Here is a 27,650-nt window from a genome sequence, read left to right as displayed (position 1 = left end):
ATGGCCCATTTCTACAACAAGACTAATTGTTGGGTCTGTCCTAAATGGTTTGCTCAGTTCAACAGCACTGAGGAACCTTACAATGACCCAGAACTCACAGTCTTAGGATTCCCTTTGTTGGCTTTACTTTTAACCCTTAAACACATATCAGGCATAAATGGAACATGGTATGGGAGCACTTTCTTTTTTTTTTTTTTCCTCGAGACGGAGTCTCGCTCTGTCACCCAGGCTGGAGTGCAGTGGCGCAATCCCGGCTCACTGCAACCTCCACCTTCCGTGTTCAAGCAGTTCTCCTGCCTCAGCCTCCTGGGTAGCTGGGATTACAGGCATGCGCTACCACACCCAGCTAGTTTTTTTTTTTTTTTTTGTATTTTTTATTAGAGACGGGGTTTCACCATGATGGGCCCGGCTGGTCTCAAATTCCTGACCTCAGGTGATCCGCCCACCTCGGCCTCCCAAAGTGCTGGGATTACAGGCATGAGCCACCACGCCCAGCCATGAATATTGTGGTGGCAGTCGCTGTGGCGGGCACCTGTAGCCCCAGCTACTGGGGAGGCTGAGGCAGGAGAATCGCTTGAACCCAGGAGGCGGAGGTTGTAGTGACCTGAAATCGCACCACTGCACTCAAGCCTGGGCAACAGATCGAGACTCCGTCTCAAAAAAAAAAAAAAAAACCCAAACCGAAAAACCATATTTATTCATTCAACAAACATTTATTTGCACATTGTGTACCAGGCTGTCATACGCATTAGGGATATAGCTTTAAACAAAACAGACAAGATGGAATATCCTGGAACACACATTCTAGTAACAATAAACAAACAAACAAATTCGTAAATAGCATGTTAGATTGTAAAATGTACTCTGGAGAAAAAGCTATATGGAGAAAAAGAAGTGTCTGTGGGGTTAATTTTAATTATGGCAGCCATGGAGGGCCTCACTGACAGGGTGACCGACGCCAAAGCGCCTGAAGGAGGTGAATGGGAGCCATACAAATAACTGGAGGAAGAGGTCCCTCAACCAAGGCAAGTGAAAAGGCCATGGGGCAGGAGTATGTCAGCAGTGTTCAGGGAATAGCAAACTGTCTACTGTGGCTTCAGAGGAATAAGAAGATGGCGTAGGATGGGGTAGGAGAGGATCTTGTAAATCATTATAAAAGCTCTGGCTTTTCCGCCAGGTGCGGTGGCTCAAGCCTGTAATCCCAGCACTTTGGGAGGCGGAGGCGGGCGGATCCACGAGGTCAGGAGGTCGAGACCATCCTGGCTAACACGGTGAAACCCGGTCTCTACTAAAAACACAAAAAATTAGCCGGGCGTGATGGCGGACACCTGTAGCCCCAGCAACTCGGGAGGCGGAGGCAGGAGAATGGGGTGAACCCGGGAGGCGGAGCTTGCAGTGAGCCGAGATCGCGCCACTGCACTCTAGACTGGGCGACAGAGCGAGACTCCGTCTCAAAAAAAAAAAAAAAAAAAAAAGCTTTGGCTTTTCGTCAGATGTGAAGTTATTGGAGATTATGTGTAAAATGTCATAAGAAAGAGTGACAGGCTTGCCCAGAAGAGTGTCTGGGGAATAAACTTGCATGGCAAAATGTTAGTTTTGGCCAGGCGCAGTGGCTCACGCCAGTAATCTCAGCACTTCGGGAGGCCAAGGCGGGAAGAGTTCGAACTCCTTGAGCTCAGGAGTTTGAGACCAGTCTGAGCAACATAGTGAGACCACCTCCCCCGACCGCCATCTCTACAAAAAATAAAAGAACAAAATTAGCCGGGCGTGGTGGCGCGCGCCTGTGGTCACTTGGGAGGCTGAGACAGGAAAATCGCTGGAGCCCGGGAGGTGGAGGTTGCAGTGAGCCGACATCGCGCCACTGCACTCCAGCCTGGGCAACAGAGCGAGACCCTGTCTCAAAACAGAAAACAAAACAAAATGTTAGTTCTTAGAATCGGAAACCCCTAGTAGAGGCCCAAAGTTGTTTTGCGAAAAGGAGACTGACGAGGAAACCCGGAGGAGTCCGCCCAAATAGGTGGAGAGAAGATCCCGCCGCGGGCGCCCCCTGGTGGATAAAAGGGCCGCGCGGAGGGCCGCTCTGCTCTTGAGACGGACACAAACGGGGCACAAAACACTATACTGAGACCGTTCTGAGGGACAGGCTTCCACCAAAATCGCCAAGGGCGGACCAGGATTTTCAAAACGGCCGCGCCGGGGGCGGGACCAACCCGATCCGTAAGTCAGCTGGGCAGCCCGGCGCCCGCACGCCGACCGGAAGGAACTGCTCGGAACCGGGGGCGGCGCCGGCGAGATGACGCAAAAGGGGTCGCGCCGAGGGTGACGCGTGGCGTAGACGACGCCGTCGGCCTGCGCCTGTCACCCCCCTCCTCCCGGGGTTTGTAGCGGAGGAGGAGCGGGCGCCATGGCGGTTCTACTGGAGACCACTTTAGGCGACGTCGTCATCGACTTGTACACCGAAGAACGGCCGCGTGGTGAGGCTTGAGCCCCACTCACCTGTCGCCGGGGCCCCCGAGCTTGTCTCCCTACTTTCCCTTCTCTGCGCAGTCCAGGGCAGAGATTGGCTAGAGCTCGAGCTTCTGGGCTGCTGGTGCCCGCGACTGGGCTATTTTATTAACCGGCCTTGGCTAGAAAAGTTTTTGTGACGGGAATTCGTTTGAGCCTTGGCAGCCCTTCTCCCGTATTTTGTGTTGGCCAGTCCGGTGGACGGTGCTTGCGGTCATTAATTGCCTTTGGGAGTGTGTGTGTGGGGCGTGTGTGTGTGTGATTCGAGCTGCACATACAATACCCATAGCTTTTGTGCCTTTATTGTGTTTACTCGTGAGAGGAACATAGGAACTATTGCTTGGTGTGTAATCGGTTAAATCTTGATGAAGGCAGTTAGGGTGTGCTTGGCGCAGCGAGTGTGGGCATACCGCTTAGGTGGAGGAGGAAGAGGTTGTCTGGAGTGTGGACTGAGCCTTCGAGGCACTGGGCTAAGTCCTGGGCTTGGCTTCTTGCCCCCGAGGGTCTGATTTTTCCACTGGGGGAAGTAGACACAGGAACCCATTTTAGTTTTCTATGTGTTATGGTAGAAGAATGTGTAAGTTGCCACGGAAACCAGAAGAGGGCGGCTTCTTTGGTGGGGGGTGGGAAGAAGCAAAGCTAGCGAATACTATATAGAACACTTGAACTAGTTCTTTCAAAGATGAATGGGAATGAGGGTTTTCTTAGCTTGGACTTTCTTTGTTTGGAATTTTCTGGAAACGGCAAGTAGTTTGGTGTGGCTGGAAGGACTGGTGTGAGTCGTGGAATGGTAGACTCGAGTGTGGTCAGATACGCCTAGGTCAGTCGTGAATAGTCTTGTGTGCCCTACTGATGATCAGAGTCCTTGAAGACTTTAAAAGCAGGATTGAGGCATGGCATACTTGTTTTGAGAAGATAATAGGCAGCGGTGTGGAGAATGTATCAGAGTCAGGAAGAAACTGAGACCAGGAGAGATTAGTTACAAACAGGGTCCTACCCACATGGAATGCAGAGCCTATCAAAGAAGGTGAAATAAGTTGCAATATTGTACAATAACTACCTCCTGCCGTGCTCCGCTTTCCCTCGCACGCAGCTATTCCTCCCTCCTCTCCACCTGGCGAAAACACTACAAACTCTCCCGTACCATTGTTACCATTCTTTTGCTGTTTCTTCTAAACAATATTCTTCTCCACTATTGTCCTTCTGGCAAACTTACTACTTATTATCTAAATCTCAGATCAAGCATCATCTCTTCTTTGAAGCTCTCCCTCCTTTCTAAGCAGAGTTACCTGAGGGTTCCTCTGCTGTGTCTTAGGTCTTTTATAAACCACATGACACATTTTATTTTAACATTTACCTATTATCCTGGTGTTGTTTACAAGCGTGCCCTCGCTCAAGAATGTAAACTCCAATGAGAGCAGGAACTATACCATAATTATCATCTCTATATCCTGAGTACCCAGTACAATGTCTGCTACTTTTAGGGCACACACTAGAGGTTCATTATGATGACTAATGGATATAAATGTGTTGTATTAGTTAGGACCCTTTGTTCAAGTGATAGAAACCCAACTCAAACTGGCATAAACAAAATAATTGGTTGCCTCATAATACTGGGGTAAGCTTGGATCGAGTGGCTGGATCGAGTGTTTCAAAGAATATCATAGGGAATTTTGTTTTTTATCTCTTGATTTTGCTTTTCTTTGAGTTCCTTTGACGCTCTGCCCATGTAGAGTAGCACCTGGCAAAATAAATGGGCCTCTTTTCCCAGAGTTATGAGGAAATAAAGGGGTGTAGAGCTACCCCACCCAATTAACAAGCAGTGGGTCTGCAAAGATAAGCCCATAACAATAAGTCCACCCCCTGTACATATTTGTAAGCATATGACTGGAGATGTGCTTACATGTGTACCTGCTATATTTATACTCACTTATCAATCTATGATCAACATATCCAGACTTACCTACCTTCCATTCTTTCTTCCTTTTCTTTTTTAACTTTTTATTATAGAAAATTTAAAACACAGATGTAGAGAGAATCATGTAAATGAACTCTCATGTCCACATGACCAGCTTTGTTTAACAGCTGTGAACACATAGCCAATCTTGCTTCATTTATAATACCCCCACCTCCAGTGCATCTATTTAATCTGTAATTACTTCAGTATGTATTTCTAAAATATAACGTCTCTTTAAAAAAAACAAGAAAAAATGGAACTATGAGCTTAAGTACCACATAAGTGACAGGTTAAAAAAGAAAAAAAACTTGACAGGGAAAAGGGAAAAATACTAAAGGAAAGAGAAAAAGTTGTAAAAAAGAATAAAAAAACAGAACCACAGATCTTATCACACTTTGAAAAAACTAGCAATAATTTTTAGTATCATTTAAACTTTCTTATTATCTCATAAACTTCTAAAAAATATGGTGATTTAAATTAGGACCCAAAGTCCATATATTGGTTAAAATGTCTCATATATGTTTTAATCTATTGGTTCTCCCCCTTTTTTCCTTGAAAAAATTTTGAGAAACAACCTGGGTGCTTTGTCTTGTAGAATTTCTCTTGTTTGGATTCGACTGATTATTTACTGGGTGCGTTAACATATTTTTGTGTCCCCTGTTTCCTATAAATTGTTCTTTAGCTTCAGAGCCTTGATTAGGTTCCAGTTTAATGTTTTTGGCAAGAATATTTCATATAAGATAGTGTGTACTTTCAGCTGCATCACATTCAGGAGGCACTTGATGTCTGGTTGGCTCTGTGATGTTAAAATTGGTCAGTGGGTTAAGGCCTTGTTGCGCTTATAAATTGTTCCCATCGGATTTTGATGAAAGACCTAAAGATTTTGGCAGCCATTGATGATCATTGCCTAAATTCATTATTTTTGTTTCTAGTAAAAGGACCACCCCTATCTGTTAAACATGAAGCCCAGAAATATATTCAAGAAAAACAACTGCAAGACTGATATTCAGCACTCTTCAACAGCTCAGCCCCATCTTATCTCTCCAGTCTTTTCATGCTCTATTACTGTGTAATACCAGACTATTACAGAACTTTGGTGTTTTGGACCTCCCCTAAAACATTTAAATTTCCACTTCCAGGCCTTTTCATAGTCTTCCAGACCTAAAATGCTCACCCTTCACTCTCTGCTAGTCCAGTTCTTTTAATGCTTGCCTTAACCTTCCCTGAGGTTTTCTAATTTCCCTAGCCAGAAACAATCTTTTGAACTCTTGTGGAATTTTTAAAACTACTTTTTTTACCATTTTAAATAAGTGGCACACATGTTATTAATTAGATATGCCCAGTATGTAACTACTTGTGTTCAGATGTAAGGACCCTAATTTAATGTAAGCTTTTTGAGGGCAGGGATTGCCTCATATATCTTACTGTCTGTTTGGTTTCTAACTTAGTGCCTTAAGAGCTTGTTAATGTGTCTTTCCACGACTAGACTGTGAACTTTTTGGGAGCAGGGACCACAGTTTAATGGCATTTGTGATGGCAGTGTCAGGCATCTAGAAGGTACTCAGTAAATGTTTATTGGATAAGCAGATTAACTTGTATGAGAAAGGTTGTTCATAAGTGTATGGATTTTTATAAAGGGCTGTTTAACTATTATTTAAAAAATGACCCCGGGTGTTTGACTTTTTCCTAATTGATATAATCCGTATCCATTTTTATATATTCTGCTAGATCCTTTTCTACTACAATATGCTCTTTAAGTGTTCTTTTTTCTCGTAATAAAATCAATCCATCAGTAAATGATTGCTTATAAGTGTCAGTTTTCTGTATTAGCCCAGATGCCCCAAAACTCCTATTAAAGGAAAAAAAAAGGTAATTTAAAATGTTTTTTTTCTAGACTTATTGCCCTTTTATTTTATTTTATTTTATTTTATTTTGAGATAGAGTCTTGCTCTATTGCCCAGACTGGAGTGCAGTGGTGCGATCTTGGTTCACTGCAACCTCCACCTCCTGGGTTCAAGTGATTCTCCTGCCTCAGCCTCCCTAGTAGCTGGGATTACAGGTGCCCGCCACCATGCCTGGCTAATTTTTTTTGGTATTTTTAGTTGAGACAGGGTTTCACCATATTGGCCAGGCTGGTCTCAAACTCCTGACTTCAAGTGATCCACTCACCTCCGCCTCCCAAAGCGCTGCGATTACAGGTGTGAGCCAGCGCCCGGCCTATTGCCCTTTTTTATAGCTTTGGACATTTGACTTTTTTTTTCTTTTAATAGTAATTTAGAAATTACATTTTACTGTGGCTTTACTTATTTAAAAATGTGTTTGTGGATTACTGTGATAAATTTGGTATTTACTTTCTTTCAGCCTGCTTGAATTTCTTGAAACTGTGCAAAATAAAATATTACAATTATTGCCTTATTCACAATGTACAGGTGAGTTGGTAGATATTAGTCATTTCCTTTGTTATTGGAACTATCTAACAAACTCTGTGAATTAACAAAGAATCCTACATATTACAGAGGGATTTTATCATACAAACTGGCGATCCTACAGGGACTGGCCGTGGAGGAGAGTCTATCTTTGGGTAAGTTGTTTTATTTATTTATTTATTTATTTATTTATTTATTTATTTACTTTTAACCTCTGGAAGGGCAGAACAAATTCTTTTATTCTTAAATGAGGAAAAATATAATTGCTCATGCTTCAATCTGCATTTTAAAATATGGTTTAAATTTAGATTTTTTCCCCCAAGTTCCCTAAAAAAAAAAAAGTAATATTTTGAATTCTGTTGGCATTTCTGTAAAGAAATAATTGATAACCCTGTATGTTACTAGTACTTCTGTATTTCATTTTGAGAGTACTTACATTTATAACCTTATATGTTTTTTCAGCCAACTGTATGGTGATCAAGCAAGCTTTTTTGAGGCAGAAAAAGTCCCAAGAATTAAGCACAAGAAGAAAGGCACAGTGTCCATGGTGAATAATGGCAGTGATCAACATGGATCTCAGGTTAGGAAATGAGTAAGAATATGAGATTTGCTTAGAAATGAAGGACTGGAAGGAGCCCACAGAGTTATTTTTTAAACTATCCAGTAAGGCTTAGAGGGTTTCAATCAGAAATATGTGTTAGGGGAAAAAATGCACTTTTTCTATATTAAAAAATATTATTTTCTTCTTTTAAATGTAAAGCATTCCTATTGTGAAGAATTGAGAAAATACAGAAAAGTACAAAGAAAAACATTACCTACAACTCCACCATCCGTGATTATCACTGTTCACATTTGTGGCTCATTTTTCAGTATTTCTTTTTATTTAATTAATTAATTTATTTTTATGAGATGTAGTCTCACTCTGTCTCCCAGACTGGAGTGCGATGGCACAATCCTCGGCTCACTGCAACCTCTCCCTCCCGGGTTCAAGCAATTCTCCTGCCTCGGCCTTCCGAATAGCTGGGATTACATGCGCCTGCCACAACACCTGGCTAATTTTTATATTTTTAGTAGAGACGGGGTTTCACCATGTTGGCCACGATGGTCTCAATCACGTGACCTCATGATCCGCCTGCCTTGGCCTCCCAAAGTGCTGGGATTACAGGCGTGAGCCACCGCGCCTGGCCGTTTTTCAGTATTTCTTACTTTTTTAAAAACATTACGCAGAGTACCTTCTATTCATTGTCTTGTTTAATTCTCCCAATGACCCTGTTAATTCTCCCAATGACCTACTTGTTAGAGTAGGTACTTCTGTTTTCTACTATATACACATGAAGTTGAGTCATGGCTTGTCTAAGTATTTTGTTTTATTTTATTTTATTTTATTTATTTAGAGACAGAGTCTTGCTCTGTCAGCCAGGCTGGAGTGCAGTGGTGTGATCTCGGCTCACTGCAACCTCCGCCTCTCAGGTTCAAGCGATTCTCCTGCCTCAGCCTCCCGAGTAGCGGGATTACAGATGCCCACCACCACGCTCGGCTACTTTCTGTATTTTTCGTAGAGACAGGGTTTTGCCATGTTGGCCAGGCTGGTCTCAAACTCTTGACCCCAGGTGATCCACCTGCCTTGGCCTCCCAAAGTGCTGGGATTACAGGTGTGAGCCACCGTGGCCGACCAAAAAATACTTTATTACTAACAAGTGCTTCTGATCATCTGAGCCTTCAGTAAATCATAATCTTTTTGCTGGTGAAGGGTCTTGCCTTGATGTTGATGGCCGTTGACTAATCTGGGTGGTGATTGCTGAAGGTTGGGGTGACTGTGGCAGCTTCTTAAAATAAGACAACTGACTGGCGTGGTAGCATACATCTGTAATCCCAGTACTTTGCGGGGGCAAGGCAGGCAGATGGGTTGAGCTCAGGATTTCGAGACCAGCCCAGGAAACATGGTGAAAACCCCATCTCCACAAAAAAATACAAAAATTAGCTGAGCATGGTGGTACAGGGCTGTAGTTCCTGCTTCTTGGGAAGCTGAGGTGGGAGGATCACTAGAGCCCAGGAGGTCAAGGGTGCAGTGAGCTGTGATTGTACCACTGCACTCCAGCTTGGGTGACAGACCTTGTCTTGCAAATAAATAAATAAATAAGACAACAGAAGTCTGCCATGTTGATGGACTCTTCCTTTCATGAAAGATTTCTGTGTATCATACGATGCTGTTGGATAGCATTTAGTAGAATTCTTTTAAGATTGAAGTCAATCCTCTCAGACCCTGCTACTACTGTATCAGCCAAGTTTATGTACTATCCTAAACCTTTTGTTGTCATTTCAACAGTTATCATAGCATCTTCACCAGCAGTAGATTCCATCTCAGTAAATCACTTGGCTGGGTGCAGTGGCTCATGCCTGTAGTCCCACCACTTTGGGAGGCTGAGGGGGGCGGATCACCTGAGGTCAGGAGTTTGTGACCAGCCTGACCAGTATGGTGAAACCCCGTCTCTACTAAAAATACAAAAATTAGCTCGGCGTGGTGGCAGGCGCCAGTAGTCCCAGCTACTTGGGAGGCTGAGACAGGAGAATTGCTTGAACCTGGGAGGTGGAGGTTGCGGTGAGCCGACTTTGCACCACTGCACTCCAGCCTGGGCGATGCAGCAAGACTGTCTCAAACAAAAAAAAAAAAGGAAGAAAACCACTTTGTTTGCTCATCCTTAAGAAGGAGCTCCATATCTGGTCAGGTTTGATCATGAGATTGCAGCATTCAGTCCCATCTTCAGGCTCTACTTCTAATTCTCGTTCTCTTGCAGTTTCCACCACATTTGCAGTTACTTCCTTCACTGAAGTCTTGAGCCACTCAAAGTCATCCATGAGGGTTGGAATCTACTTCTTCTTAACTTCTGTTAATGTTGATATTTTGACCTCCTCCCACAAATCACGAATGTTCTTAATGACATCTAGAATGGTGAATCTTTTTCAGAAGGTTTTCAATGTACTTGCCCATATCCATCAGAGGAATCACCATCTATGGCAGCTATAGCCTCACAAAATGTATTTTTTTTTAATTTTTATTTTTAGAGATGGGGCCTCACTACGTTGCTCAAGTGATCCTTCTACCTCAGCCTCCTGAGTAGCTGGGACTACAGGTGCATGCCACATGTCAGGCTGTATTTCTTAAATAGTAATACTTGAAAGTTGAAATTACTCTTCGATCCATGGCTGCAGAATGACTGTTATGTTAGCAGGCATGAAAACAGTATTTTTTTTTTTTTGAGACAGATTCTCACTCTGTCACCCAGGTTGAGTACAGTGGTGCAGTCTCACCTCACTGCAACCTCTGCCTCCTGGGTTCAAACAGTTCTCTTGCCTCAGCCTTCTGAGTAGCTGGGATTACAGGTGTGCACCACTACGCCCGGCTGATTTTTTGTATTTATAGTAGAAATGGGGTTTCACCATGTTGACTGTGTTGGCCAGGCTGGTCTTGAACTGGCCTCAAGTGATCCACCTGCCTCAGCCTCCCAAAGTGCTGGGTTTACAGGTGTCAGTCACTGTGCACAGCTGAAAACAATATTAATTTCCTTGTACATCATATCCATCAGAGCTCCTGGGTGACCTGGAGTATTGTCAATGAGCAGTAATATTTTAAAAGGATTTCTTATTAAAAGAGCAGTCATATTTAAAAGGATCTTTGTTCTGAGCGGCAGGTCTCAACAGTGATCTTAAAATATTTGATAAACCCTGCTGTAAACAGATGTGCTGTCATCCAAGCTTTGTTGTTCCATTTCTAGAGCACAGGCAGAATAGATTTAGCATCATTCTTTTTTTTTTTTTGAGATGGAGTCTTGCTCTGTCGCCCAGGCTGGAGTGCAGTGGCGCAATCTCTGCTCACTGCAAGCTCCACCTCCAGATTCACGCCATTCTCCTGCCTCAGCCTCCCAAGTAGCTGGGACTACAGGCGCCTGCCACCACGCCCGGCTAATTTTTTGTATTTTTAGTAGAGACGGGGTTTCACCGTGTTAGCCAGGATGGTCTTGATCTCCTGACCTCGTGATCCACCCGCCTCGGCCTCCCAAAGTGCTGGGATTACAGGCGTGAGCCACCGCGCCCGGCCGATTTAGCATCATTCTTAACGGCCTTGGGATTTTTGGTATAGTCAGTGAGCATTGGTTTCAACTTAAAGTCACCAGCTGGATTAGCATGTAACAGAAGAGTCAGCTTGTCTTTGAAGCTTTGAAGCTAGGCATTGACTTTTCCTCTCTAGCTGTGAAAGTCCTAAGTGGCATCTTCCAATATAAGGCTGTTTCGTCTTCATGGAAAATTTGTTATTTCATGAAGTCATCTTCATCAGTGATCTTAGCTAGATCTTCCAGATAACTTGATGCATGCTGCAGCTTCTTTTTTTTTTTTTTTTGAGACAGATTCTCACTCTGTTGCCCAGGCTGGAGTGCAGTGGCATGATCTCAGCTCACTGCAACCTTCGCCTCCTGGGTTCAAGCAATTCTCCTGCCTCAGCCTCCTGAGTAGCTGGGATTACAGGCACACGCCACCATGCCTGGCTAACTTTTGTATTTTTAGTGGAGACAGGGTTTCACCATGTTGGTCAGGCTGGTCTTGAACTCCTGAGCTTGTGATCTGCCTGCCTCGGCCTCCTAAAGTGCTGGGATTACATAGGCGTGAGCCACTGCACCTGGCCACTTGCTGTAGCTTCTGTGTCAGCACTTGCTGCTTCACCTTGCACTTTTAAATTATGGAGACAGCTTCTTTCCTTAAATTTTTCTTTTCTTTTTTTTTTTTTTTTGAGATGGAGTAATTCACTGCGCCTGGCCTCTTTCCTTAAACTTCATGAATTAACCTCTGCTAGCTTCAGACTTTCTTTTGCAGCTACCTTCCCTCTCTCAGCCTTTATAGAATTGAATAAAGTTAGGGCTTGTTTGGAATTAGGCTTTGGCTTAAGGGATCGTTGTGGCTGGTTTGACCTATGTAGATTACTAAAACCTTCTTCATATCAGCAGTAAGCCTGTTTCATTTTATCATTCATGTGTTCACTGGAATAGCACTTCTAATTTTCTTTAAGAACTTTTCCTTTGCATTTACAACTCAGCTATTGTTTGGTACTAGAGGCCTAGCTTTCCGCTTATCTTGGCTTTCAACGTGCCTTTCTCACTATGCTTAATCATTTTTAGCTTTTGATTTAAAGTAAGAGATGTGCCATTCTTCCTTTTACTTGAACACTTAAGAGTCTCTTGTAGGGTTAATTGGCCTCATTTCAGTATTGTGTCTCGGGGAATAGGGAGCACTGAGAGGGAGAAAGATGGGAATGGCTGGTTGGTGGAGTAGTCAGAACACATACAACATTTATGGATTAAGTTCACCATCTTATATGGGCACAGTTTGTGGTGCCCCAAAACAATTGCGGTAGTAAGATCAAAGATTATAGATGGTAATAACAGATACAATAGTAATGAAAAAGTTTGAAATCTTGTGAGAATCACCAAAATGTGAGCCAGAAACATGAAGTGAGCCTATGCTGTTGGGAAAATGGCACCAATAGACTTACTCAATACACGGTTGCCAGAAATCCTTAATTGTAAAAAATGCAGTATCTGCAAAGTGCAATAAAATGAGGTATGCCAGTATAAGCTTTGTACTTTTTACTTAGTTTTGGTAACAAGTGTCTAAGAATTGGTGCAGTAAATGTGGACTCTTAACTTTCATGTATTTTTTTGTCAGTCTGTAACTGATTTCAGTTTGAGTTATGTATTATTTTTATGGTATTTATTATGTGTCCTTCTTTATAGTTTCTTATCACCACAGGAGAAAATCTAGATTATCTTGATGGTGTCCATACGGTGTTTGGTGAGGTGACAGAAGGCATGGACATAATTAAGAAAATTAATGAGACCTTTGTTGACAAGGACTTTGTACCATATCAGGATATCAGGTATGGTTACAATTTGCTATCTGAATGTACTAGAATGTTTTAATATTGAGATGTTTAACACGTAGTGGTATGGATAGGAACGGTATGCATAGGACTGGTTTCTGGATAATTCTAATCCCAAAAGGTGAATTAATATAAGACTGTAAGAATCTTTATAATAAAAAGGACTTTTTGTATTTTTATACTTGTACTAATTATTTATAATTATGTTTGGAGGAATTATTTATTTATTTATTTTTTGAGACGGAGTCTCATGCTGTTGCCCAGGCTGGAGTGCAGTGGCGCGATCTTGGCTCACTGCAAGCTCTGTCTCCCGGGTTCACACCATTCTCCTGCCTTAGCCTCCCAAGTAGCTAGGACTACAGGCGCCCGCCACCACACCTGGCTAATTTTTTGTATTTTTAGTAGAGACGGGGTTTCACCATGTTAGCCAGGATGGTCACGATCTCCTGACCTCATGATCCACCCACCTCAGCCTCCTGAAGTGTTGGGATTACAGGAATGAGCCACTGCACCCAGCTGGAGGAATTGTTAATGCTTTAATTTAGTTTTTTAATTGAGAAGTAGGGCAAAAGTACTAAGATTTAGACAGTTATATTAGTTTACATCTTAAAGTAATGCAGGGTGATAAATATGGTATCACTCAATGCAAAACAGTAACACTCATTGTGAAAGTATATCTAGGTTAGTAATATCCATATGCAATATGGGTTTTTTTTGGCCTTAGAGATAATCAAGTAATTTTTTGTAATCTATTAAAATAAAATAGGATTCTGAAATAACTTCAATGTATAACATTTGATTTGGATTTATTTTGTAAGGATAAATCATACGGTGATTTTAGATGATCCATTTGATGACCCTCCTGATTTATTAATCCCTGATCGATCACCAGAACCTACAAGGGAACAATTAGATGTAAGTAAAGCCCTCTTATGATTAAATGTACATTCATATTAATGATTTGTATGGATTTATCTTTTTCATCTGTTAAAGTTAATTTTTTCCGAATTATTATCTTGCTTAATTATATTCAACAAGTTTGGAGTTCTTTTTCTTTTCCACAGAGGTACTCATTTTTCTAGCTGTCTTCTCATTTCTCTAATTTCCTTTCTTCAGTTTCTTTTCTACTGAGACAACCTCAGCTCTAGAAGCTTACATGAACACCTTGGGAAAGTGTTTTTCTTGTCATCAAATTAAACTGTTATCTTGTGAGGTAACTTTTCAACTGGGGACACTCTGGAGCCAGGCTAGAACCCAGAAATTTCTGTGAAACAGCGCAGACTGTTCCCCCACATATTTTAAGGTTTATGTGGCTTCCTGAAAGCTGAATTTGTCTTTATGGTTGGGATTGGTGCTTAATTGTCAGATCATTTCTCTTCATTCAGCAGTTAGAATTGGATAATAAATAGTGTCCATATAAATATTTATTTATTTTTTTGAGATGGAGTCTCACTTTGTTGCCTAGGCTGGAGTGCGTGGTGGGATCTCGGCTCATTGTGGCCTCTGCCTTCCTCATTCAAGCAATTCTCGTGCCTCAGCCTCTTGAGTTGCTGGGATTGTAGGTGCATGCCACCACGCCCAGCTAATTTTTGTATTTTTAGTAGAGACAGGGTTTCACTGTGTTGGCCAGGCTGGTCTCGAACTCCTGACCTCAAGTGATCCACCTGCGTGTTCTCCCAAAGTGCTGGGATTACAGGCACGAGCCACCATGCCTGGCCTATTTTGATTTTAACAGAAGCCCACTTTGGCTAATATTTTAGAATTAATATAAATCAATTCTTGGAGGTTTATAAGTTTGTCTCAGTTGCTGTCCAATTAATTATTAAAAATTTTTTTTTAGAGACAAGATCTCACTGTGTCACCCAGCTGGAGTGCAGTGGTGTGATTGTAGCTCACTGCAACCTTGATCAGTTACTGTTTTAGCATGTTTGATATAACTAAGAATAAAGTATGTCTTCTATGTTTCTCAGATTTTTTTATTCTTTAAATATATACATGAGTAACTTCTGTCTTAACAGAGTGGTCGAATAGGAGCAGATGAAGAAATTGATGATTTCAAAGGAAGATCAGCTGAGGAAGTAGAAGAAATAAAGGCAGAAAAAGAGGCTAAAACTCAGGCTATACTTTTGGAGATGGTAAGATAATTATCTTTGTTCAAATTGTTCTGTAATATATCTAATAATACTTACTGAGTGTTTATTTCTGGCTCTTCAGTAGTCTTAAAATGTTAAAAATTGAGTTATGATTTTTTTCTGATTTAAATTTGGTATGGCATAGTAATAAATTGGCTCTACTGTGAAAATAAATTTGACTCTACTGTCAATATAGTGCTAAGTGCCTTTTTAAACAGTGGGAAGTGGATCTCTAACTTATTAATTGAATTTCAGTTGTTTAATATTCATCTCATTCTTAAAGAGTGTTTAGCAGGCTGAATTTTATGTATATTAAAGAATAGTTCTTCACTGTACCACTCAAGTGTTAAGATTAAACAGAATGGTAGTTGTAGGGCAAAATAATGGGTGGAAACTGAGCACTCTAAAATATACTGCTTCTCTGTATTACTAACAACCTGAAGTCATTTGGGGAATAATAATTCAGTAGATGATTAATTGACCTACTTGGTATTATTTTCCATTTCTTATTTTTGTAGAATAGGCATACCTGTCATATCATAGATAATAAATATTGGAATGAATGGATAATAAAGTTACTATTTTATATAATAGAACTTTCAGATTTGTAGTCTGTTTTAAAGTTTATTTATTTATTATTTTATAGAGACAGGGTCTCACTCTGTTGTTCAGGCTGGAGTACAGTGGTGTATGATCATAGCTTGCTGCAGCTTCCAACTCCTCAGCTTAAGCAATGCCCTTGCCTCAGCCTCCTGAGTTGCTGAGACCACAGTCACACACCACAATGCCCTGCTAATTTTAAAATTTTTTTTGTAGAGACAGGATCTCCCTATGTTGGCCAGGCTTAAGTTTATATTACCATCAACTGTCTGAATGAACAAATAGTAAAGGCTGTATAGTTCAAGAAAGCTTTACTGAAATTAAAAAAATTAATTGAAAATACACATTTTAATGAGCACACTGTGTATCTCAGAGTATTGACTCTGAACACCCAACACCAAGACAAATTCTAAGAGAATTACTACACTTGAAAGATATGTTGAACAATTGGGCAGAAAGAATAAGTTACTTATAAGGGAATGAATTTAGATTGTTATCAGACTTTTCCACAGCAACACTTTGGAAGTTTATGCCAGAAGAAAATAGATTAACATACTTTTTAAAACTTTTTGTTTTCAGATAATTTCAAATTTATGGGAAAAAGTACATAGAACTTCTATATACCTTTTACCCACATTCACCAATTTTTAACATTTTGCTACATCTGTTTTATGATTCTCTCTTTTTCTCTCTCTCTGATTATACAAGCACATAAACACACATTTTTTTTCTCGACTATTTGACAGTAAGTTGCCTGTTATTTCCCTTTACCTCTTAATCAGTGTGTATTTCCTAAGAGCAGCAGTATTCAATGTGTATAACAATATGTACGTATTCACAGTGTAGTTACCAAAATCAGAAAATTTAGAAGTGACAGAAATTACAGTTTATAGGGCCGGGCACAGTGGCTCACGCCTGTAATCCCAGCACTTTGGGAGGCCGAGGCGGGTGGATCACGAGGTCAGGAGTTCGAGACCAGCCTGGCCAACATGGTGAAACTCCGTCTCTACTAAAAATACAAAAATTAGCTGGGTATAGAGGCATGCGGCTGTAATCCTAGATACTCAGGAGGCTGAGGCAGGAGAATCGCTTGAACCCAGCAGGCGAAAGTTGCTGTGAGCCGAGATCGCGCCATTGCACTCCGGCCTGGGCAACAGGGCGAGACTCCGTCTCAAAAAAAAGAAAAAAGAAATTACAGTTTATATTCCAATTTTGCCAGTTGTTCTAATAATATCTTTTATAATTGTTTCCTCCTCCAGACTAGAATCCAGCTCGTGACTTATCATCTGTTGCATTTATTTTGTAGAATATTTTCCTTTTTTTTTTTTTGAGACGGAGTTTCTGTTGCCCAGGTTGAAGTGCAATGGCATGATCTCGGCTCACTGCAACCTCCACCTCCCAGGTTCAAGCGATTCAGCTGCCTCAGCTTCCCAAATAGCTGGGATTATAGGTGCCTGCCACCCACGCCTGGCTAATTTTTTTTTTTTTTTTTTTTTTGAGACAGAATCTCGCTCTGTTATCAGGCTGGAGTGCAATGGCACGATCTTGGCTCACTGCAACCTCTGCCTCCCGGGTTCAAGCGATTCTTCTGCCTCAGGCTCCCGAGTAGCTGGGATTACAGGCGCCTGCCACCACATCCAGCTAATTTTTTGTAATTGTAGTAGAGACAGGGTTTCACTGTGTTGCCCAGGCTGGTCTCCAACTCCCGACCTCAGGCGATCCTCCTGCCTTGGCCTCCCAAAGTGCTGGGATTACAGGCATGAGCCACCGTGCCCGGCCAATAGAATATTTTTCAATTTAGGTTTATCTACTCTTTCCTCATGATTAGATTCAGGTTATGCACCCACAGCCGAAATAGTACGTGAGTGATGTTGTGTCCTCAGAGGTCACATCTGGAGGTGTACGATATTCATTGGAAGATGAGTAATTTTGGTCACTTGGTCATGGTAGTCCACTGCCTGGTGTCTCCAATAGACAATCTGTGGCTAGACACTTGGAGATCTTTCAAATGTCTTGTTCCTTGTCAAATTTCCCCCATAAATTTCTCAGCCATTCATGATTCCTGACTGCACCAGTTTTGACTCTGCTAAGTGCAAAGTGGTAATTATGCAAAGTGGTAATTTCCCACCCCCACCACTTTTTCCACAATTACCAACCTGCATTCTACTGTAAGGAAGAGCCCTCCCTTCTTTTTTTTTTTCCGAGATGGAGTCTCGCTCTGTCACCCAGGCTGGAGAGCAATGGCGCAATCTTGGCTCACTGCAACCTCTGCCTCCCAGGTTTAAGCGATTCTCCTGCCTCAGCCTCCTGGGTAGCAGGGATTATAGGTGCCCGCCACCACGCCCAGCTAATTTTTGTATTTTTAGTAGAGACAGGGTTTCACCATGTTGGTCAGGCTTGTCTCAAACTCCTGACCTGGTGATCTGCCTGCCTCGGCCTCCCAAAGTGCTGGGATTACAGGTGTGAGCCACTGTGCCCGCCTGAGCCCTCCCTTCTTAACTGCTTATCTATCCGTTCATTATCCGTGTCTCATGGATTCTTTTTTTGGCTTTGTTTTTAATAGACAATTTGTAGAGCAATTTTAGAATTACAGAAAAACTGAACATAAAGTACAGAGAGTTTCTAAGTACTCCCTCCCTCTTTCCCCCAGTCTTGCATTATTGTGACACATTTGTTAACAATTGATGAGCCAATATTGATACATTATTAATTAAAATCCATGATTTACGTTAGAATTCAAGCTTTGTGTTGTACATTCGGTGGAACTGACAAATGTACGATAGCATATATCTACCCTTACAGGATCATTCAAGGTAGTTTCACTGTCTAAAAAATCCCCTGGGCTCCACCTGTTCATCCCCACCCCCAACACCCACTTCTTGGCAACTACTGATGTTTTTACTGTCTATATAGTTTTGGCATTTTCAAAATGTCATATAGTTGGAATTATAGCGTATGTAGCCTTTTCAGACTGTCTTCTTTCACTTAGCAATATACATTTAAGGTTCCACTGTGCCTTTTTTCTTTCTTCCCTTTCCCTTTCTCCTTTCCCTTTTTCTTTTTCTTTCTTTTCTTTCCCTCCTTTTTTTTTTTTTTTTGAGACGGAGTCTCGCTCTTGTCGTCAGGCTAGAGTACAGTGGCATTATCTCGGCTCACTGCAACCTCTGCCTCCCAGGTTCAAGAGATTCTCCTGCCTCAGCCTCCTGAGTAGCTGGGACTACAGGCACGTGCCACCGCGCCCGGCTAATTATTTTGTATTTTTAGTAGAGACGAGGTTTCACCGTGTTAGCCAGGATGGTCTTGATCTCTTGACCTCGTGATCTGCGCGCCTCAGCCTCCCAAAGTGCTGGGATTACAGCATGAGTCACCCTGCCCGGCCCTTTTTTTAATTTTTTTTAATTTTTTTTTATTTGAGACAGGTTCTCGCTCTGTTGCATGGACAGTGGCACAATAATGGCTCACTGCACCCCGACCTCCAGGGCTCAAGTAATCCTCCTACCTCAGCCTCACAAGTAGCTGGGACCACAGGCGTGTGCCACCATGCCCGGCTAATTTTATTTTTTGTAGAGACAGAGTCTCACTATGTTGCCCGGCCTGGGATTTCATTTCTTTCTTTTTTTTGTTTTTTTTTTTTAGAGAAAGTCTCACTCTTTCACTCAGGCTGGAGTGCAGTGGTGCTGTCATAGCTCACTATAACCTTGAACTGAGGTTGAGCAGTCTTCCTGCCTCAGCCTCTTGAGTAGCTGGGACTATAGGCACACGCCACCACACCTTGGTAATTTTTAAATTTTTTTGTAGAGATGGAGTCTTACCCATGTTGCTCAGGCTGATCCCAAACTCCCAGGTTCAAGTGATCTTCCTGTCTTGGCCTCCCAAAGTGTTGGGATTACAGGCGTGAGCCACCATGCATGGCTGATAGCTCATTTCTTTTAATTGCTAAGTAATGTTTCATTGTATGGATGTATCACAGCTTGTATATTTTTTACCTGTTGAAAGATACCTTGGTTGCTTCCAAGTTTTGGCAGTTGTGATTAAAGCTGCTGTAAACATTTGCATGCAGATTTTTGTGTAGGCATAAAGTTTCTATGCATTTGGGTAAATACCTAGGAGTTCAGATGCTGGATTGAATGGTTTAGCTTTGTAAGAAACTGCCAAACTGTCTTCTAAAGTGGCTTTACATTTTACATTCCTACCAGCAATGAATGAGGGTTTCTTTTGCCTCACATCCTTGCCAGCATTTGCTGATGGTATTTTTTGGATTTTAGTCACTCTAAAAGGTGATCCTGTGTCCTTTTGATTTTATTAACATATTCCATGTTCTGTTTTCTAAGAATATCTGTTTCTCTTACTTTATTGCATTTGTTTGTAATATAGTGATAATTCAGCTAGTGTTTTGTAAAATTAGTTTTGAACCTCATAGCTTTTATGAATGTTTTAAATTTCCTAATAGTATTTTAAAGTTAGCTTTGACCAAGTACTATAGCAAGTTCTTTTTTGACTCATTAACTTTTTTTCTCGTTTGTGCTTCCTTTCTGCCATTATAGGTGCTTTGGAGGATTTTTACTAATTTGCTCTACTCCTTCTGTGTTTTGACACTCTTTTTTGTTTTTTAGAGGCAGGGTCTTACTCTGTTTTCTAGGCTGGAGTGCAGTGGTGTGATCATAGCTCACTGCTGCCTCAAAAACTCTGGAACCCAAGCAGTCCATCCAACCTTCTGAATAGCTAGGACTACTCACACTGCCATGCCTGGCTAATTTTTAAATTTACTATAGAGACAAGGTCTTACTATGTTGCGTGGGCTGGTCTCAAACTCCTGGCTTCAAGAGATCCTCCTTCCTCAGCCTCCCAAAGTGTTGGGATTACAGGTGTGAGCTATCATGCCTGGCTGTGATACTTCTTATTGGACATAATGTTGTCTTTTGATAGACTTCAGAAACACTGAGGAGATCTTACTGGCTGTGTTGCTTCTTACTGTTTTTTATTTTCAAGATTTTGGGGGGAAGGGCATGTTTATCCAAGAGGAGACACTTTACAGGTGATCTTATCAGAAATAATCTCTGAAAGAGTGTTTGAATGTATGTATAAAGGGATGTTGTTGCCCCATCTAAATGTGATAGAGTTGCATACATATATGGTAAAACTCTGATGATATGCAAGGAAATGACTGAAAAAGGAAAACCAAAAAGCAGGGTATTTGTTGTCTCTGATGAGGAGGCACAGGGAGAATGGGATAGGTGACATTTTAGTTCTTAAGCTAGATGGTAGCATCATAGTGGTTTTTATTTTTATGCTTTATGACTTACATGTACTTTACATAAATTCTTATCCTTTAAAAAATATATCAAATACTTGAAAAAAGATGAAGTAGGGGTAAAATTGGTCTTTGAAGCCAGATAAATGTAGGTTCAAATCCCAGCTCTGTTGTTTACCACTGTGTGGTCTTGGGCAAGTTACTTGTTTAACCTTTTAAATTTCACTTTACTTGTCTTTATTTTATTTGTTTATTTATGAGATGGAGTCTTGCTCTGTCGCCCAGGCTGGGGTGAAGTGGCGTAGCTCACTGCAACCTCCGCCTCCTGGGTTCAAGCGATTCTACTGCCTCAGTGTCCCGAGTAGTTAGGACTACAGGTGCACACCACCATGCCCGTTTAATTTTTGTATTTTTAGTAGAAATGGGGTTTCACCATGTTGGCCAGGCTGATCTTGAACTCCTGACCTCAAGTATCTGCCCCCCTTGGCCTCCCAAAGTGCTGGGATTACAGGCATGAGCTACCATGCTCAGCCGCTTTACTTGTCTTTAAAATGGAGATTGCAGGATTGTTTCAAGAATTAGCGTAATAGATCTGAAGCTCCAAGCACTGTTCACACAAAGTATGAGTTATTTAAATATTAGCTATTAACACTGTTAAGAATAGGAACAGTGTAGTTCAAATTTTGAAATCTTATTTGGATTTCTTTTCCAGAGCCTGCAGTTTGTAACATAAATTTAGATGTTTTAAGGAAATCAGCATTGTGGGATTGGATAGGATTTAGAATGGAAACTAAATAGGAATTGATTTATGTTTTTGTTTGTTTGTAATTTAGGTGGGAGACCTACCTGATGCAGATATTAAACCTCCAGAAAATGTACTGTTTGTGTGTAAATTGAACCCAGTGACCACAGATGAGGATCTGGAAATAATATTCTCTAGATTTGGGCCAATAAGAAGGTAATCCTTAGAATTAGTGAAAGAGATATTTAGAAAAACTAGGTATCAGTTGGTGGTTTTCTAATGACATATTTTGATGATTCTGTGAATTCTAGGCGAATTTTGTACTGGTGAATTTTTACAGGTGAGTCTTTGGACAGTAGGGAAGAAAAGTATATATGTGTGTGTAGACATACATACATACGTGCACACACACACACAGATAAATAATTGAATCTCCCACTCTCAACACATTTTCACCCTAAAACAGGAAATGAATGGAACAATTTAAATCTAGTTCTGTAATACTCTCAACAGCCTTCTTTAATATTTAAAATATTTATCTCATTCAACTCCTGGAATTACCAGCAATTTATGTCAAAATTAATTTAAAACTAAATTTTCTAAAATTTTTCTTTTGGTTAGTTTTCCCTGCATTAATGAAAAAGTCTATGAAGCTAGTATTTCTGTGAGGAAGGGGACTATTTTGTAATTGATTAAAAAGTATTATATTTAGGGTTTCCTTTTGTTTCAGGGATTTTATTTTATTTTATTTATTTTTGTTTATTTTTTTGACATGGAGTCTCGCTCTGTTGCCCAGGCTGGAGTGCAGTGATGTGATCTCGGCTCACTGCAACCTCTGCCTCCCGGGTTCAAGTGATTCTTCTGCCTCAGCCTCCTGAGTAGCTGGGACTACAGGCATGCGCCAACACGCCCAGCTAATTTTTGTATTTTTAGTAGAGACGGGGTTTCACCATATTGGCCAAGCTGGTCTCGAGCTCCTGACCTTGTGATCCGTCCGTCTTGGCCTCCCAAAGGGCTGGGGTTATAGGTATGAGCCACTGCGCCCGGCTTTTAAAATGAGGTTTTTAAAATGAGACTTATGACACTTGGGGCAAGGGACAAGCCAGGTGCTTTCAACTTCAGCTTATTGGCCTTTTCACTTGGTTATTATGGTATATTAGTTCTGTAATTAACATTGTGCTTACAGTGTTAAATTTGAGCTTGATTTATATTAAAATTCAAAAATTTCAAAGCTTGAACTTAAACATTTATATATGTATGAGTATGCATACATTATTCTACAGTAATGTTAGATGTTAGATATTCTATAATTCGACTATATTTGGACTAGAAAAGTGTTGTGATTTTAAAAGTCTTTAGCAGTAGTTTACTTTTGCCAAAGGAAAATTAAATATTTTTATTCTTACTTCAGTGCTTAAGGGAATTTAGGACTGTAGGCCTATATAAGGCACTTAGAGTAGAATTTAGATAATTTAGTTACTGCTCTGGTGAACTACTTTTAAAAAAGAATTGTTATTAAATGAATTTGGAAAAATAATCTATGAATTTAACTTTGCCTTGTAGTAACTGACTTATTTCTTCTTCAGTTTTGAAGAGTGAGAGTGAATGCTTTCTTCCTTTTTTTTTTTTTTAAGTCACTTTTAAATACTTTCTTTCAGTTGTGAAGTTATCCGAGACTGGAAGACAGGAGAGTCCCTCTGTTACGCTTTTATTGAATTTGAAAAGGTATGTCATAATACAGACATAAGTTTGGTATTTATTTGCTTTTATATGGTATTAAAATGTGAAAAATTATAGAACTTTTTCTAGTTTCTAGAGTTGCCCTTTCTTTTGGCACTCCCCAAAATTAAGTTTATTGTATCTATATAGGGGATAAGTTCAACATCTGTTGATGTTAACATACGTACTTTTACTTTAGGTTCAGGTGCAATCTGCATGAAAGTATCTTTAGAACTTTTTTTTTTTTTGAGACAGGGTCTCACTCTGTTGCCCAGGCTGGAGTGCAGTGGCGCAGTCTCGACTCACTGCAGCCTCCGCCTCCTGGTTCAAGCGATTCTCTTGCCTCAGCCTCCCCAGTAGCTGGGATTACAGGTGCCCACCACCATGCCCTGCTAATTTTTTTGTATTTTTAGTAGAGACAGGGTTTCACCATATTGGCCAGGCTGGTCTTGAACTCCTGACCTCAAGCAATCCACCTGCCTCGGCCTCCCAAAGTGCTGGGATTATAGGCATAAGCCACAACACTCAGCCAATCTTAGAACTTTTTAAGTTCTAAGTAAAGCCCTTCAGAGACTCTTAATTTTTCCCTGTTACTTAAGTGGAGATAAAGTTGAGTAATAGAAAGAGAACTGAACTGGGTGTTAAGATTTAGATATTAATACATCTTTTGTTATTAGCCAGCTATTGTATGATACTTGGCAGTTTAGTTAACCGTTCTTTCTAGGTCTTACCTTCTTATAAATAAAACTTGGGTATTAGAATAGATGGCCCCTTCTAGAGCTGTAATAATGATAGCTTATGTTGCTTAAATATTTACTTTAAGCTAGGCATTATGTTACTTTTGCTGCATTTAATCCTCACAGTTCTGTAAGATAGGGACCATCCCCTTTTCCAAATAAGTTAACTGAGACACATAATGCTAATGTGACTTGTTCAAAATCACACACCTAGTGAATGAATGTCATAGCTGGGATTTGAACTCAGATATGTCTGATTCTGTTCCCATTGAGTTTACACTGTGCTATGGTATGCTCTTTTTTAATGCAACTTTGGACTCATATGTATCCAGTAGTAGCTCATTCTAAGTTCTAATTATTACAAAGCATTTATGGAATACCTTTTATGTTTTCAGACACAGCAATAAGGCCTAGGGATACAAGATGAATCATGGAGGGTTGGGGAAGATAGACCATAAAGTTATATGTAGGCACTGTGTCAGATGTACCAGAAATGATACTTACAAGGTACATTGGTGCCAGCAGAAAGACCTTTACCTTTGGTTTGCTGTGAAAACTTGTAGACCTGCACTAGCATTCTATCATTGACACTATAGAATCTATTATTTATTTTCTCACAAATAAAATTTCATTTGTAGCACATAGACTAATGACTGCCCATGTTTTGAGTTTTTTGCAGCTATGCCATTTTCTTCTTTTTTTTTTTTCTTTTTATTTTTTTGAAACAGAGTTTTGCTTTGTCACCCAGGCTGGAGTGTAGTCGCATGATCTCAGCTCACTGCAACCTCCGCCTCCCAGTTTCAAGCGATTCTCATGCCTCAGCATCCCAAGTAGCTGGGATTACAGGTGCTTGCCACCACACCTGGCTCATTTTTGAATTTTTAGTAGATACAGGGTTTTATGATGTTGGCCAGGCTGGTCTTGAACTCTTGACCTTAAGTGATCCACCTGCCTTGGCCTCCCAAAGTGCTGGAATTATAGGCTTGAGCCACTGCACCTGCTGTTTTACTTTTTTATTGATCTCTAAGGATTCTTTATATTTTCTGGATGCAAGCTCTTTTTTGATTATGTGTGATACAGATATCTTCTCTGTGGATTTCCTTTTACTTTTTTTTTGTTTTTTAAGGGACAGGATCACTCTGTGTTGCCCAGGCTGGACTTGAGCTCATGGGCTCAAGTGATTCTCCAATTTTAGCTCCTGCATAACTGGGACCACAGGCATGCCTTTTTCCTTTCTTAATGGTGTCTTTTTATAAACAAATTTCTAATTTTAATGGTTCAGGTTGTCAGTATTTTTCTTCCTTTTTAGTGGCCTATTTAAAAAATATTTTCCTACTTCAAAGACATGAGGATATTCTCCTGTATTATTTTTAGAAGCTTTGTTGTGAAATTGTTTCCCATTCAATTCTGTAATTTGCTTTTGGTGTATTGTATTACATTGTTTCGTTTTTCATACATTGGATTGCCACGTGACAGCACCATTTATTTAAAAGGTTGTCCTGGCCAGGCGTGGTGGCTCACGCCTGTAATCCCAGCACTTTGGGAGGCCGAGGTGGGTGGATCACGAGGTCAAGAGATCGAGACCATCCTGGCCAACATGGTGAAACCCCGTCTCTAGTAAAAATACAAAAATTAGCTGGGCATGGTGGTGCGTGCCTGTAGTCCCAACTACTCGGGAGACTGAGGCAGGAGAATTGCTTGAACTCGGGAGGCAGAGGTTGCAGTGAGCCAGCATCGCACCACTGCACTCCAACCTGGCGACAGAGCAAGACTCCGTCTCAAAAAAATAATACATAAATAAAAAGTTGTCCTTTTTCTCTGAGGTCTCTACTGATGAAAAAAATAATAAAAAAAGTTGTCCTGCCCCACAGCTCTGTAGTACCACTTTTGTTATAAATCGGTATCCATATATGTATAGAGTCTGTTTCTAGACGCTATACTGTTGCACTGATCTATTTGTCTATTCATATACCACTGTTACATTGTGTTAATCACTATAGGTTTATAAATGTCTTGATAACTGTGAGTCTTCCAACTTTGTTGTTTTTGAAGATTGTCATAGCTGTTTTTGACTTTTGAATATTTATTTTTGAATCAGTTTCTCAATTTTGAAGAGATTTATTAACTATTATTTAGGTGTAAGTAAATTGAGTATTTGCAAATACTATCCTCCTGAAAAAGTGATCTTCAGAGCTTTCTCTTTGGGGATATAGCATGGTGATAGAATTATACCTGCCTGAAAATAATCAGTCAGATTCATGAAACGTACACTGATTGCCTACGTTTTAGATACCATGCCATATGATGTTCTAAATGATGTAGTTACAAAGACGAATCAAGCTTTGTCTATATCTTCATGGATTTTATAATTCATTTAATTATTGACATGTAATAAATATGATTATAACTATTTTATCTGCTTCTCTTTGGATTATCTCTAGTAAGAATAAGTTTCCAGGAATGTAAAAGAAAATTGGTCAGTACTGAGTTGAAATATGTAACTGTCAGTGTCAGAAACAGGGATTTAGAATTGTGAAGTTACTGACAGGAAGGATTCTTGTGTAGCACAGAGCTTGGTATTACAGTCTCACAGTTCATTATCTAAAACCCTTGAGAATAACTAGGCTTCCTAATTCAGAATTTTTCAGAATTCAGAAAGGTAATACTGTATATATGCATACACACATACACATTACATCTGTGATTATGTAATACCTTTCTGGGTCAGCATTCCATAATCTGTCACAAAAGTATTTCTGCAGTGAAACAAATGAATATTCATACTAAGTGGATAAAAAAAGGTCATAACCTACCATTAGGTTTGGTGTTACTGCCAAATTAATTTTAACAACAAACTTAGGAACACAACTTTCACTTTCCAGGATGTTTTTGAATTTTGAGTAAAAAGGATTGTGAACCTGTATAATACAGTCAGTAAGTGTATATTTATCTGTTCACTGCAGTTGGACTGTCTCTCTAAAATCCTGGCTCTGACCCTTGCCAACAACTTCTATACTTCTCTAAACTTCTGTTTTCTCATTAAGAAAATGGATAGTACCTCATGGGGTTGTTACCAGAGGTATTTGAGGTAATAGATACAAAGCATTTAACAGCATCGGGTGTGTAATAAGTATTCAAACATTAATTTTTGTAACAACAAACTTTTTGTATTTTCAGTATTCTAGCTACAGAAATCTTTTCCATAAAGATTTATGCTTGAGTTTTTATAATTATTATCAGGAAGAAGATTGTGAGAAAGCATTCTTCAAAATGGACAATGTGCTTATAGATGACAGAAGAATACATGTGGATTTTAGCCAGTCGGTTGCAAAGGTTAAATGGAAAGGAAAAGGTATGATGGTTTATCTTTTGTTTTTGTTCTGCTTTTTTTTTTTTTTTGAGATGGAGTCTCGCTCTGTTGCCCAGGCTGGAGTGCAGTGGCACGATCTTGGTTCACTGCAACCTGTGTCTCCCAGGTTCAAGCCATTCTCATGCCTCAGCCTCCCAAGCAGCTGGGATTACAAGCATGTGCCACCATGCCCAGCTAATTTTTGTATTTTTAGTAGAGATGGGGTTTCACCACGTTGGCCAGGCTGGTCTCGAACTCCTGACCTCAGGTAATCCACCGCCTTGGCCTCTCAAAGTGCTGGGA

General features: G+C 40.5%; 1 protein-coding gene across 1 annotated transcript in view, besides 2 other annotated features; it reads left to right on the top strand.

Moving 5' to 3' along the window:
- Positions 798–1,474: an enhancer, noted in NCBI's record as "H3K27ac-H3K4me1 hESC enhancer chr6:149868072-149868748 (GRCh37/hg19 assembly coordinates)". NCBI's record gives its function as "activates a minimal SCP1, AML or CMV promoter by ChIP-STARR-seq in primed H9 embryonic stem cells {active_cell/tissue: H9 hESC(primed)}" and the evidence as "EXISTENCE:reporter gene assay evidence [ECO:0000049][PMID:30033119]".
- Positions 2,178–2,477: an enhancer, noted in NCBI's record as "active region_25262". NCBI's record gives its function as "activates an Ori minimal core promoter by ATAC-STARR-seq in GM12878 lymphoblastoid cells {active_cell/tissue: GM12878}" and the evidence as "EXISTENCE:reporter gene assay evidence [ECO:0000049][PMID:35858748]".
- The window catches only part of PPIL4 (peptidylprolyl isomerase like 4), a 41,549-nt gene continuing 16,265 nt past the window's right edge, over positions 2,367–27,650 (top strand). Inside the window, exons 1-10 of the mRNA NM_139126.4 lie at positions 2,367–2,474; positions 6,824–6,891; positions 6,979–7,043; positions 7,351–7,468; positions 12,672–12,814; positions 13,636–13,732; positions 14,836–14,952; positions 21,634–21,758; positions 23,201–23,267; positions 27,239–27,350. Of these exons, the coding sequence (NP_624311.1) occupies positions 2,405–2,474; positions 6,824–6,891; positions 6,979–7,043; positions 7,351–7,468; positions 12,672–12,814; positions 13,636–13,732; positions 14,836–14,952; positions 21,634–21,758; positions 23,201–23,267; positions 27,239–27,350 (982 nt within the window). The 5' untranslated portion in view covers positions 2,367–2,404. The remainder of the gene's footprint in view (positions 2,475–6,823; positions 6,892–6,978; positions 7,044–7,350; positions 7,469–12,671; positions 12,815–13,635; positions 13,733–14,835; positions 14,953–21,633; positions 21,759–23,200; positions 23,268–27,238; positions 27,351–27,650) is intronic.

This window comes from Homo sapiens, chromosome 6, assembly GCF_000001405.40.
Source record: "Homo sapiens chromosome 6, GRCh38.p14 Primary Assembly".
Taxonomy (NCBI): Eukaryota; Metazoa; Chordata; class Mammalia; order Primates; family Hominidae; genus Homo; species Homo sapiens.
Note: the sequence above shows the minus strand (reverse complement) of the source record. Positions and strands in the feature narration are given on the sequence as shown.